A 14,536-nucleotide genomic window follows, 5' to 3' on the forward strand; every position below is an offset into this window, starting at 1 on the left:
ACTCTGGAGTCTTATAAATTTTTAATGAAGAGTTTTCCTTGTAAGACCCCCAGAATTTCTTGAGTTTTCATCATATATGTGTGTATGTGTATATATATAGATAGATATATACATATATATACACACATATATAGATATATACATATATAGATATATACATATATACACATATATATAGATATATACATATATACACATATATATACATATATATATGTATACACATATATATGTATATATATGTAACTTTTTTTTTTTTTGAGGAGTCTTGCTCTGTTGCCCAGGCTGGAGTACAGTGGCACGATCTCAGCTCACTGCAACCTCTACCTCCTGGGTTCAAACGATTGTCCTACCTCAGCCTCCTGAGTAGCTGGAATGACAGGTGCCTACCACCAGGCCAGGCTGGTTTCAAACTCCTGGCCTCAAGTGATCCACCCACTTTGGCCTCCTGAAGTGCTGGGATTACGAGCGTGAGCCACCATGCCTGGCCCTGTAACATCATATTGACAATAATAATGTAGGCACTTTGGTAATTGTTTTGTCTTCCTGAGTGGTATTTCTCAATGTGAACTACAAAGATACCTATGGCCATATCTAGGATCGAAGTCTTTTTTTTTTTTTTTTTTGAGACGGAGTCTCGCTCTGTCACCCAAGCTGGAGTGCAGTGGTGTGGTCTCGGCTCACTGCAAGCTCCGCCTCCCGGGTTCACGCCATTCTCCTGCCTCAGCCTCCCGAGTAGCTGGGACTACAGGCGCCTGCCACCACGCCTGGCTAATTTTTTGTATTTTTAGTAGAGACGGGGTTTCACCATGTTGGCCAGGATGGTCTCGATCTCCTGACCTCATGATCCGTCAGCCTTGGCCTCCCAACGTGCTGGGATTACAGGCGTGAGCCACTGCGCCCGGCAGATCAAAGTCTTACTATGAACTTCCAGGGTGTAATGTACACAGCCCTATCTGTTTTTTGTTTGTTTGTTTGTTTTGAGATGGAGCTTTGCTCTTGTTGCCCAGGCTGGAGTGCAATGGTGTGATCTCGGCTCACAGCAACCTCCGCCTCCCGGGTTCAAGTGATTCTCCTGCCTCAGCCTCCCGAGTAGCTGGGATTATAGGCTTGCACCACCACGCCCGGCTAATTTTTGTATTTTTAGTAGAGACGGGGTTTCTCCACGTTGGTCAGGCTGGTTTCGAACTCTCGACCTCAGGTGATATGCCCACCTCGGCCTCCCAAAGTGCTGGGATTACAGGCATGAACCACCGAGCCCAAACTGCCCTATCTGTTTTAAGTTGAGGAAAACTCATCCTATCGGCACTTTCTCAGGCATCAGTCCCAATCAAGTTATGTTATTATAACAGCCTATTAAGTCTCCCTGGATAACAGACAACCCTTTGTTTATCTATCCATACTGGGACTGGAGAGAACTTACATTGTACAATTAATGAAGTGACACTATACCTGTCTTCGCAGCCTCTGTCTATATATGCCAGCTTTCTATTTGTCTATTGATTAGATGCTGTTCTTTTCATCTGTTCTATAGTCATACTCCCAATATCTAATTGTTTCCTTAAATATGAATAGACCTGCTAATGATGATATTGTAGAACTGTTTTGTAGCTAATCGCTGCTGGGCTATGAGTGAGGGCCTCCTACAGCTTGATGAGATTATGTCTTCCCAGCATTAAATTATTCCAAACAGATCAATTTCAAAGTTAACAAATAACATGTTTGTTAGTAAAAATGTGAGTCTTACAGTAATTCAAATAACTACTACTGTGGATAGAGCAGCCAATATCAGTTACAGGAAAAGTCCTTTGTGGCAACCACAATGCAATCCTCCCAAGAGTCCAGCTGCGTTTTTCTTTCTCTCCGATGGCCCTGTAGGTGATCAGTAGCATTTGAAAACATTCCTCTCAGCACAGTGGCAGCCCAGGCCTTTCCCCTGGAAAAGCTTTGATGCAGAGGAAACCTCCCAGTCAACTGGGATGGTGGACTTCTTTGGAGGGTTACCTCCAGATCCTTCTGACTTTTTAAGTCTCATGGTTTCTAAAGAAGAGAAAAGCCCTATTAAGTATTGAGTATGATTACGGGAGGATTCAGTTAAATCAGGCACAGGAAGGACAGGCACAGTGGCTCATGCCTGTAATCCCAGCACTTTGGGAGGCTGAGGCAGGTGGATCACCTGAGGCCAGGAGTTCAAGACCAGCCTAGCCAACATGGCAAAATCCCATCTCTACAAAAAATACAAAAAAATAAAACTAGCCAGGTGTGGTGGCACATGCCTGTAATCGCAGCTACTTGGGAGGCTGAGGCAGAAGAATCACTTGAATCTGGGAGGCAGAAGTTGCAGTGAGTTAAGATCATGCCACCGCACTCCAGCCTGGGCAACAGAGCAAGATTCTTTCTCAAAAAATAAAAATAAATAAAAACATTAAAAAAAATCAGCCACAGGACTTGGTCTTGGACCCAAGTTAGAGCTAGGCCATGCTTGCTTAAAGGAGTGGCTGTAATTTTAAACAAGGCTAGTGGGAAAGTTCCAGGCCATCTTAACATTGTAGGTTGCAGAATCTTAGCCAATGAGTCTTTCAGAGCTGGATTCATTAATCTGTTAATTAATTCATTAATTTTTTTATGCTACTGGATGACAGTAGGAATAAAATGACTTTTTCTGTCTGATTCAAATGCTCTGGTATTCCAAAAGGGAGATTCATATTTATTAAGAGAGTCTTTCCCGTTGTTTATACTTCCTGCCTAAGGATCAGCTTCTTTTTCTCTTTCTTCACAGCTGACAACAGATGCCCTAATTGTTTCACCTCAGGTTAGCACTATTGCAATTTGTCTAGCAAGACCTTATGTCCCCGCCAGATGAGAAATTGCAGTAAAGCCAAAGCATCAGTTTTGCATTGCTCTTCAGTTTCTGAGGCTACTAGTAGCAAGTCGTCTACATAGCAAATAATCATAGATCCCTCTGGTGGGAGAAATTCCTCTAAGTGTTTCTGTAAATGACTAGAGAAAATAATGGGAGCATTCAAAACCCTTGAGGAATTCTTTGCCATAAATATCAGACTTTCTCATAAGCAAAAGCAAACAAGAATTTAGATTCATCTGCTAGAGGAATGGAAAGACAGAAAATGCAGAAAATTGATCAATTACAGAGAAAAACTTTGCAGACAATGGTACCAAAGTCAGAAGAGTTGCTGGAGTAAACAGAACAGCACACATATTTACTTCTTTAAGTTTTTTTTTTTTTTTTTTTTTGAGACGGAGTCTCTCTCTGCCGCCCAGGCTGAGGTCAGTGGTGTGATCTCGGCTCACTGCAACCTCTGCCCCCCGGGTTCAAGTGATTCTCCTGCCTCAGCATCTCAAGTAGCTGGGATTACAGGCACGTGCCACCACACCCAGCTAATTTTTTGTATGTTTCTTAGAGACAGGGTTTCACCATGTTGGCCAGGCTGGTCTCGAACTTCTGACCTCAGGTGATCTGCCTGCCTTGGCCTCCCAAAGTGCTGGGATTGCAGGTGTGAGACACCATGCCCGGCCTTCTTTAAGATCTTATACAAATAAATTTAGCAGTTGACCATCTTCATCACTTTTACCTCTCTTCTCTTTCAGAAGTGTGAGACTATTTCAAAGTGGTGGCTTTTTCAAATTATCCCTTGTTTCTCTATTTTTTTTTTTTTTTTTTGAGACAAGATCTTGCTCTGTCGCCCAGGCTGGAGTGCAGTGGCACCATCTCAACTCACAGCAGCCTCAACCTCCCGGGCTCAAGAGATCCTCCCACCTCTGCCTCCTGAGTAGCTAGGGCTAGAGGCATGCACCACCTCGCCTCGCTAATTTTTCTTTCTTTCTTTCTTTCTTTCTTTCTTTCTTTCTTTCTTTCTTTCTTTTTTTTTTTTTTTTTTTTTGCTTTTTGTAGAGACAGGGTCTTGCTATGTTGCCCAGGCTGGTCTCAAACTCCTGGGCTCAAGAGATCCTCCTGCCTCGACCTCCCAAAGTGCTGGGATTACAGGTGAGCCCCCACATCTGGCCTCTAATTCTTTTATAACCTATTTCATTCCTTCTAATTGAGCTCCCAACAAAGGAGATTGTTTTACACACAGCTATGGCTTATCCCTTTGGTAAATTGATTTTATGGGTTCTATAGCTCAAATTAAATCAGCATCTCGATTCTCTAGGGCTCAAAAGATGCCTTGATTTGTGTCAGCTCAGGAAGGGGGCTTTTCCGGCACTGAATATGGTAGGCTTGGAGGTGCATGGCAGGTCTCTCGCCAATAGGTTTACAGAAGAGTCAGGAGGAAAGGGGAGCACTTGCTCCTTAGGCAAAGGCAGAGGGCCCATCTGATGGGAATTGGAGGGAAGGGAATATGTAGAAGGCTGAGTCAAGATACAAACAACCTGTACTGATGGAAAGCAAGAGCAAGAGCTTTCCAAGGCAAATGCAGAATAAGTAGCACCAGTCTGTATGAGAAAAGGCAAGGACAGGTCAGCCTGGCAAACAGTGACCGACATACACACACTTAACCCTAATCTCTTCCCGCCACTGCCATCTCCTCAATCTATCCATTTTGAGCCATTTGCAAAGTATCTCCTAGCTGAGAGTTTTATCCTCCTAGGCCCCCACCCCTGATTCTCTTGTTCCTGCCATCCTGCATGCCCCAGTCTCTTTGGACAATCCCTCTTCCAATGTCCTTGCTTCTTGCAATGATGACACGTGTCTTGCTTCCTTTCCTTTCTGGGTTGCCCAGAACAGGAGTTACTCCCTTTCAGTAAACAGACCTGAGCAGCTAACACAGAGTTTTTCAGTTTCTTCTTTTCTTCTTTGACTTTCTCTAGAGTCCCAAATACTGAATAGCTGCTCCTAAGCTTACATTATAGTCAGTCCTGCCATCCTACCACCTTTTCCCTTATTTGAGTTGTTGTTGTTGTTGTTGTTTGTTTTGTTTCTTGTTTTGAGACAGAGTTTTGCTCTTGTTGCCCAGGGTGGAGTGCAATGGCACCATCTCTGCTCACTGCAACTGCCACCTCCCAGCTTCAAGCAGTTCTCCTGCCTCAGCCTCCCGAGTAGCTGGGATTACAGGCCTGTGCCACTATGCCCGGCTAATTTTGTATTTTTAGTAGAGATAGGGTTTCACCATGTTGGTCAAGCTGGTCTCAAACTCCTGACCTTAGGTGATCCACCCACCTCAGCCTCCCAAAGTGCTGGGATTACAGCCTCCCAAAGTGCTGGGATTACAGGCGTGAGCCACTGCGCCCAGCCATATTGGCACTTTTTAAGCCTTGTGTTTTTTAATGTCCCGTTGACCAAAGCAAATCACATGGCCAAGCCCAGATCTGAGAGTGTGGAAAAATGGACTCTATCTCTTGCAGGGAGGAGCTGAAAGTTCCATCACAAAAGGGTATGCATCCAGGGATGGCAAGAATTTGAGGCCATTTTTGTGATCCAAGGACAGAGATTGTCCTCGGACATAAAATTCAAGGCTGGCAGTTTTTTTGTTGTTGTTGGCACATCAGATATACCATTGTCTTGTTTTCTGGCTTCTGTAGTTTGTGTTGAGAAGTTGGCTGTCAGTCAAACTGCATAACTATAAAAGTAATCAACCCACCCACCAGCTGCTTTGAATGTTTTCTCTTTGTCTTTGCTTTCCCTCAGTTTTACTATGATGTGCCTAGGTGTGGTTTTTTGTTTGTTTTATCCCGCTCTTGGTTCACGTGACTTCTAGAAACTGACTTGATATATTTCACCAGTTTGGAAATATTTCATCCATTAACTCTTCAAATATTATCTGTGCCCCATTCTTTCTCACCTTGTTTTTCTGAACTCCAATTAAGCATATATTAGGTCAAGCATGGTCGCTCATGCCTGTAATCCCAGCACTTTGGGAGGCTGAGGCAGGAGGATCCCTTGATCCTAGGAGCTCAAGACCAACCTGGGCAACATAGTAAGACCTCATCTCTACAAAAAAAAAATGAACAAAATTAGCTGGGCATGATTGCATGTGCCTGTAGTGCTAGCTACTCAGGAGGCTGAGGCAGGAGGATTGCTTGAGCTCAGGAGGTCGAGGCTGCAGTGAGTGGAGATTGTGCCACTGCCCTCCAGCCTGGGTAACACAGCAAGACCTTGTCTTAAAAAAAAAAAAAATACACGCACACACACATATATGAGACCTTCTTTCTGTATCCCCTATGTTTCTTACCTCCTTTTGCATTGTCTTTTACCACCTTTTTACCTCTCCAAGCTTTAGTCTGGCTATTTTCTTCTGATTTATCTTTCTGTTTACTATTTCTCTCTTCAGCTCTTGTATATCCCACCCATTGAGCTCCTAACTTTAATTTGTATATTTTATATTTCTAAATTTTTCACTAGATTCTTTTTGTAGTTTCAAATTATCTGCTAAATTTCTCAATTCTGTCTTTTGTTTCCTTGAATTATTAAATATAATTATTTTAAAGTCTGTATCTGATAATGCCATTATTTGGAGTCCTTGTGGCTCTATTTTTATTATATTACTTTTCTAATTTCATTTTTATTAAATTTTCTTTTCTCCTTATGACATGTTTTGTTTGTTTTTAAGACAGGGTCTCACACTGTCACCTAGGCTGGAGTGCAATCATAGCTCACTGTAACATTGAACTACTGGGCTCAAGCAATCCCCCTGCCTCAGCCTCCCAAGTGCTGGGATTACAGGCATGAGCCACCATGCTGGGCCTTGTCCTCGTTATTTTTTATTGAGTGCTGGACATTGTGAATGGAAACTATAAATCATTTGAGGCCAAGGACAATGTTATCTTCCTCCAGAGAAAATTTACATTTGTTTCTGGCAGGCAGCTGGGGCACTAGAAATCCTGATCACCTTAATCCAATTTTCAGGGATTGAAAGAGCTCAAATCTTGACTACAGTCCCTTAGGGGACAGGGATGCAGTCCTTTAGAGGGCTATTCTATTTCCAGTTTACACTTATTCCTAGACCTTTGGGTTTCCAACCCAAAGCACGAGGAGCTTACTAGGGCCTTCTTCCTTGGTGAGCCCTGCACTCTGACTTTTGACCCCTCACCTCTTAAGTCTGCTAACTGTTCTGCTCAGCTTCTTGGGCCCTCAGCTGTCTCTGCTGGAATTAGCGGATGGCCATAGGGGATAAGCAGCCTTAAATGCTGAGCTCATCTCTCAGCTCATTTCCTTTCTCCCATATCTTGGTCCCATATGCTTCACTGCCTATTATCACTTGGATATTTTCAAGCAAATATTTTCCCTGTTTTACTGAGTCTGTTTAGTTGTTCTCAGTGGAGGTTGTGGTTCAAATTACTTATTTTGTCATTGCCAGACACAGAAGTCATTCAGCACTAGGTTTTAGGCTCTATTTATATTGTTGAGTCTACATATAATCTTGCTTCCAAGTACTGCATAACACTCCCTAATGTTTTATCTGCTTCCTTAGTCACTACAAATAATGCTACCATGACCTTTGTCATGCAGGCCATTGCTCTGTCACCCAGGTTGGAGTGCAGTATCATGAACATGGCTCACTGCAGCCTCAACCTCCTGGACTCAATGGATGCTCCTGCCTAAGCCTCTCACGCAGCTGGGACCACAGGCATAAGCTACCACACACGGCGAATTTTTGTATTTTTTGCAGAGATGAAGTCTCACCATGTTGCTGAGGCTGGTCTCAAACTCCTGGGTTCAAGTAATTCTCCCACCTCAGCCTCCCAAAGTGCCACGATTACAGGCGTGAGCCACCACGCCCAGCCAAGAATTTTTGTGATGTATCCCCAAGAGCAGAATTACAGAGAATTACCAAAATTACCCAACCTAGTGTATACTTAATTGATGAGATACTGACATATTGTTCTCCAGAATGGTTGTGTTGGTCTGTATCTCCACCAGCAGTACATGAGCGCTCTCTAGCCACACATCCCTGCCAGCATTTGCTATTGCCTGCATTTCTAGGTGTGTGTGTATTTGTCAATCTAATGGGTATGAAGTGATACTGTTGTTTTGATTTGCGTTCCTCTGATAATCAATGGGCTTGCACATCTTGGGTGTGGCATGTCTGCTGCTGGTGCTGCCAACACTTGGTGGGGCATGTAGAACTGGGCCTCTGACCTCCGAGGAAGGGGTGTCATCTGGCGGGTTCCGAGAAGGCCGAAATGAGCTGGAGCCTGAAACCACTGCTGCTGCTAAGGGCCAACTGAGACTGGCGCTACAGCAACAGGAATGGAAAACAAACAGGAAGGAGCAAGACCCTTCTCTCCTTCCCAGCCTTCCAGTCTCCCTCTAGTGTCCCAGTTGGTGGAAACTGACAACCAGCCAGAAGACAAAGAAGGAATGTAGGTTCAGAGTCCCAGCGCCAGCCTCACAAAGCAGAGTATGGCACCTTCCCCGCCCCTGCCCCTTTGGCTTCGCAACATCAGTTCGAAGCCTTCTTGCATAATTTGAACTTCCCTCAGCAGTAATGACAACTTTATGTTTCTGCCTAACAAGATCCTTCATACAAATATGCTCCTACCCTCTTCTCAAGAGGGGAGACATAAAGTCCCAACAGTCTTTGTAATCATCTCCAAATTACAGTCACGGTATTGGTGATATTAATTTCTCCTTTAAATAAGTCATAGTACCACTTAACTATTCTGTGACCTAGAGGCTAAGTTGTAAAGTTTACCATCAAAACAACTGCTATTGGCCAGGTGCAATGGCTCACGCCTGTAATCTGAGCACTTTGGGAGGCTGAGGCAGGAGGATAGCTTGAGCCCAGGAGTTTGAGACCAACCTGAGCAACACAGCAAGACCCTATCTCTACAAAATATTACAGATAAAAAAATTATCCAGTGTGGTGGCGCATGCTTGTAGTCCCAGCTACTCAGGAGGCTGAGGCAGGAGAACCGCTTGAGCCCAGGAAGCGGAGGTTGCAGTGAGCCAAGATCACGCCACTGCACTCCAGTCTGGGCAACAGAGGGAGATTGTCTCAAATTAAGAGAGAGAGAGAGAAAGAATCAAAGTCTGTAAGTACCGTTTCGTGTCAGAGAGGAGGAGAGATGGCAGAGCCTTTAGGGAAGACTGTGAAGATGTACTGTTGGCCCTGCCAGGTTAAAAGAAATGTGGTCTTTGAAGTGCAAATACATAAGCTTTTCAAACCTGAGCAATAAAAGAAAGTGCTCTGGTGGTCTTTTCTCTGGTGTTACTATTTGACAGGGCAGTAGCAAGCTAGACGCAGGGGCTATGACGCTTTGCTTCAGTAAAGTGACTGCGTCTGAAACAGCAGCTGCAATCAATTCACCTGCGGTCATTCTTGAAGAGCCATCCACCTTCTGCCAAGCACCAAATAGACAAATAGCATACAAGAGACATCACGACTGCAACCTTCAAGTTCAAGGCACTAATCTCTGCTATTTCCCTCAGAATCGTGACATTGGGTTCCTTTCTCTCCATTAGGCAAGGGTTGTTCTGGCATCTCACTATCATTGAATTTACGCCACAGTTGAGTTCCAGTTTAAATCAACCAACCACATAGGCTGTTAGAGTCACTTTCAGCTGCATGGACCAACATTAAATATAGGCCCTCTGGTAAATGCCCCCAGCTCAAGAAATTGTGCCCAATCCAATGTTATATCCATCCCTTTTGGTAGAACATCCTTAGAATTCACTTCCACACATATTCGCCCAGGTTTTTGCCAATATTTCTTAACGAAAATCATGTTATTGTTCTGGTGTATAGGTTTTCCTCTTGTGTTTTAGTGTGTACCTGTCCACCTGTGGTGGATTGCACCCTCATTATGGGACAGGGGGTGGTTGTGGTGGGTTCTGAGAGGAGAATGGGTATCCTCTTGCAAGGCACCAGAGGGCTACCAGGTCAGCCCTAAAAATTCTCTTACTCCTTGTACCTGCAGGGCTAACAGTGCTAAATCAAACACAAACTTTAATTGCTTGGGTTACAGAATCGCAACGTCAGTTGATTCCCAGCCTCGCCACGTGTCTCACATGAAATGTCAGGCAGTGGTCGGGAGGAGTGAGACCCTGAAACTTACCATTGCTTTCAAGCTCAAGGACGCAAACAAACCAATCTCCAAACCCCATCTTTCAGGATATGATTCTTGACACCACTCCAGCTGCCAATTTTGCTATCAGCCAGGATCTGATCAGGAAGTAGAAAGGATGACAGCTCCTCCCTTGGTGCATGCAGTTGAGATTTCAAGTGATCTTCCTGCCTTGGCCTCCTGAGTAGCTGGGACTACAGGCATGTGCCACCACACCAGGCTACGTTTTGTATTTTTTGTAGACGAATGTCTCGAACTCCTGGGCTCAAGTGATCCTCCCAGCTCAGCCTCCCAAAGTGCAGGCACTGCAGGTGTGAGTCACAGCACCCAGCCTCCTCTGTTTGAAGAGTCCTAACTCCCTTCGTTCCCCAGCCTGAGGGGCTGTGTTAATTTCCTGGAGCTGCCATAGCAAAGTGCCACAAACCAAGTGGCTTCGACAGCAGAAATGGATTCTCTCACAGTTCTGCAGGGAAGAAGCCCGAGATCAAGGCTGTGAGAGAGCAGGAGGATCACTTGAGCCTGGGAGTTTGAGGTTGCAGTGAACCATGACTGTCCCACTGCACTCCAGTCTGGGCAACAGAGGAGATTCTGTCGAAAGAAAGAGAGAGAGAGAGAGAGAGAAAAAGGAAGGTAGGAAAGAAGGAAGGAAGGAAGGGAGGGAGGGAGGGAGGGAGGGAGGGGAAAGAAATAAGAAAAGAAGAGAGAGAGAAAGAGAAAGGAAGGAAGGAGAGAGAGAAAGAAAGGAAGGAAGAAAAGATAAGAAAGAAAAAGGAAAGGAAAGAAAGAAGGAAGGAAGAAAAGAAAGAAAGAGAGAAAGAGAAAAGGAAGGAGAGAGAGAAAGGAAGAAGAAAAGAGAAAGAAAGAAGAAAAAAGAAAGAAGAAAGAAAACAGAAAGAAAGAAAAAGAAAGAAAGAGAAAGAAAGAAGAAAAGGAAGGAAGGGAAGAAAGGAAGGAAGGAAGGAACAAAGGAAGGGGAAGAAAGGGAGGGAAGGAAGGAAGGAAGGAAGTTGGTTAGAGAGAGGCCCACAGAGCTGAAGCTGGGTCTCTGAGGTCTGAGGTGGGGGCGTGGCCTAGCTAGTTGTGGAGGAGTGAGCTCAGTAGAGGGACTTGTGGGGCTGGGATCCAGACCTCTAAGGAGCAGGGGTCTGGCTGATGCTGGGGTCTCTGAGCTCAGGGGATGGCCTAGTACTCAGATTTTGGAGCATAGGGCACTGGGTGTCCGGTGGTGGTGTCTCAGAGGTGGGATGCAATGAAGCTGGTCTTGCAAGTGTTGAGAGATCTGAAAATTGGCTTCAGGCAGTGCCACGGAAATGAAGCACTTGCTGCAAGGGTGAAGAAGCCTTGTTAGATGGTGCGCCCAGGAAGGAGCAGGTCCCTTCTTCCTCCTCCAGTCTTGTGGGCTCCCTTAAACGCCCCCAGCTAGCAGAGCCTAGGAGGGAGGCGCTGGTAAAGCAGGAGCATCACCAAGCAGAGGACAGCAAAGGGGGTGGCACGCCCACTCCACAAGCCAGCACTGCTCCTTCTAGGGCACGGATCTCAGAGAAAGGACTGCATATGCCCACTTTATCCATGATGGCTACCATTGGAAACAACCCACACGTCCATCAACGGGGGAATGGGTAAGTGAGTCGCGGTGCATGCGTGCATACAATGGCTACTAGTCAGCATCACAGAGGGAAGAAGGGACACAGACGTCAACCTGGATGAGTCTCATGGAAGTGATTCCAGAAAGAAGCCGGCACAAAGGGCTCCAGAGCGTGTGCTTCCATTTCCATACCCGTCAGGAGCAGGCGAGACCATCTACAGCCATAGACGGCAGGACAGGGCTTAGATCTGCAGCCAGGGATTGGCTGCCTGGAGGCACAAAAGCATTCTCTGTGGTGATGCAAATGTTCTTTAGTTGGTCCAAGTTGTGGCTGCATGTGTGGATAGGCAGGTGAAAAAACCAGGCGTGCACTTGATTTTCTGCACAGTAATCCTCAATAAGGACTTGTTTCACGGATTTTTAGGGCAGTGGAGTTACTCTGTATGATACTGTAAGGGTGGATCCATGTCATTATACCTTTGTCCAAACCCATAAATGGACAACACCAGAGTGAACCCCGATGTCAGCTATGGGCTTTAGTTCATGCGAGCTTCTCACTGTGGCTCACCAATTGTAACAAACGTACTACACTGACTCGAAATGTTCATCATGGGGAGGCGTAAGGGGAGTGACGGGGTCTGTGGGAACTCCTTACTTTCCGCTCAATTTTTCTGCAAACCTAAAATTGCTCTAAAAAGCAAAATGCCTTAATTTTTTAAAAACCCAGGAAAGCAGCCCAGGGCCGATGTGGCAGCTCCAGGTGCTCAGGCCCTCGGGCTGCCTTTGTTGCTGTTCCGCCATCCTCAACGTGCGACTTCCCTTTGGTGCGACAAGGTAGCTCTCCCCATGATCACAGATCACATTTGCCTTTCAGCTGTAAGGAGACAGAAAGTGGCTGGCACAAGGCCATGCGTGGTGGCTCACGCCTGTAATCCCAGCAGTCTCGGATGCCAAGGCGGGCAGATCACCTGAGATCAGTAGTTCGAGACCAGCCTGGCCAACGTGGCAAAACCCTGTCTCTACTAAAAATACAAAAATAAGCTGGGTGTGGTGGCGGGCGCCTGTGGTCCCAGCTACTCTGGAGGCTGAGGCAGGAGAATCACTTGAACCTGGGAGGCAGAGGGTGCCGTGAGCCAAGATCATGCCACTGCACTCTAGCCTGGGTGATCGAGCGAGACTCCATCTCAAAAAAGAAAAAAAGAAAGAAAGAAAGAAAGGAAGGAAGGAAGGAAGGAAGGAAGGAAGGAAGGAAGGGAAGGAAGGAAGGAAGGGAAGGAAGGAAGGAAGAAAGGCGCCAGCACAGGTTTGCCCTGCAGGTATGGGTGCACTCATGCCCCACCACCCTACTGGGTGCATAGAGGCTGGGAAATGGGTCTTCAGCTGAGCTGCCATGTCCCCAAGCCACAAATCTAGTGTTATGGAAGAACAGAAAAACAGATATTGGAGGGCAATAAGTGGACGCTGTTACAGGTGGGGATCAAGGGGGACAATGAGTGTAGAGGAGTCTTGAGGGGTTTTGCTGTAAACAGGAGCAGTGAAACGGGGCAAGAGCCAGGGGGCATGCGGAGGCAGGAGCGGGAGCTTCCGGTGATAGAAGCTCCAAGGGCATGTTGGTATGCTGCTGGGCCTGACCCCACAGGGAGAGAGAAAAATTACAGGTGCAGAAAACAGGAGGAGAGAGGGGGTCTCAGGGGTGGCAGAGACCACTGCACATGGTGGGAAGTGTTCACCTGAGGGGGCTAGGGCTGGGGAGGGGACAGATTTGATGATGGGAACTCAAGGAAAGAAATTCTCGTCAGATGCTCTCAACTTGCTCAGTGAAACATGAAACAAAGTTCTCACCTTGAAAGTGCAGGGCCTGGGGGCTGAGGGGAAGGTGTGAGGCCTTGGAGAACCAGGGAGGAAACTCTAGAATTCCCAAGGAAGGCTGGCTCTGCCTGGGTCCACTTGAGGCTTGTGGTCATAAATCTAAGGTGCTTAGTCCTGGGCTGGGTGTGGTGGCTCACGCCTGTAATGCCAGCACTATCGGGAGGCCGAGGTGGGAGAATTGCTTGAGCCCAGGAGTTCGAAACCAGCCTGAGCAACATAGGGAGACTCCATCTCTACAACAATAATTTAAAGATTAGCCAGGCGTGGTGGCGTGCTCCAGTGGTCCTAGCTACTTGAGAGGCTGAAGCCAGAGGATTTCTTGAGCCCGGGAAGTGGAGGGCTCACCTGTGCTGGGTTTTCTTTCTTTCTTTCTTTCTTTCTTTCTTTCTTTCTTTCTTTCTTTCTTTCTTTCTTTCTTTTTTCTTTCTTTCTTTCTCTTTCTTTCCTTTTCTTTCTCTCCCTCCCTCCCTTCCTTTCTTTCTTTCTTGCTTGCTTTCTTGCTTTGTCTTTCTCTTTCTTTCTTCTTTCTTTCTTTCTCTTTCCCTCCCTCCCTCCCTCTCTCTCTCTGTCTCTCTCTCTCTTTCTTTCTTTCTCTCTTTCCCTCCCTCCCTCCCTCCCTCTCTCTCTCTCTCTCTCTCTCTCTCTCTCTCTTTCTTTCTTTCTTTCTTTTTCTTTCTTTGTCTCGCTCTGTCGCCCAGGCTGGAGTGCACTGGTACAATCTCAGGTCGCTGCAACCTGATTTTTTTACCTGCCTATCCACACATGCAACCACGACTCGGACCAAACTAAAGAACATTTGCATCACCACAGAGAATGCCTTTGTGCTTCCAGGCAACCAATCCCCAGCTACAGAGGTAAGCCCTGTCCTGCCATCTATGGCTGTAGATGGTCTCACCTGCTCCTGATCACGCCACTGCACTTCAGCCTGGGAGACAGAGTGAGACCCTGTCTCAAAAAATAAATAAATAAGGTGCTTTGTACTGGTTTAGAGGGCTGGGTACCCCAGAGAGAACGATGCCACCGGGGCACATCATGAGTCTTCCACTGAGCCATGGAGCT

The sequence above is a fragment of the Homo sapiens genome, chromosome X (genome assembly GCF_000001405.40).
Source record: "Homo sapiens chromosome X, GRCh38.p14 Primary Assembly".
In the NCBI taxonomy this organism is placed as follows: domain Eukaryota; kingdom Metazoa; phylum Chordata; class Mammalia; order Primates; family Hominidae; genus Homo; species Homo sapiens.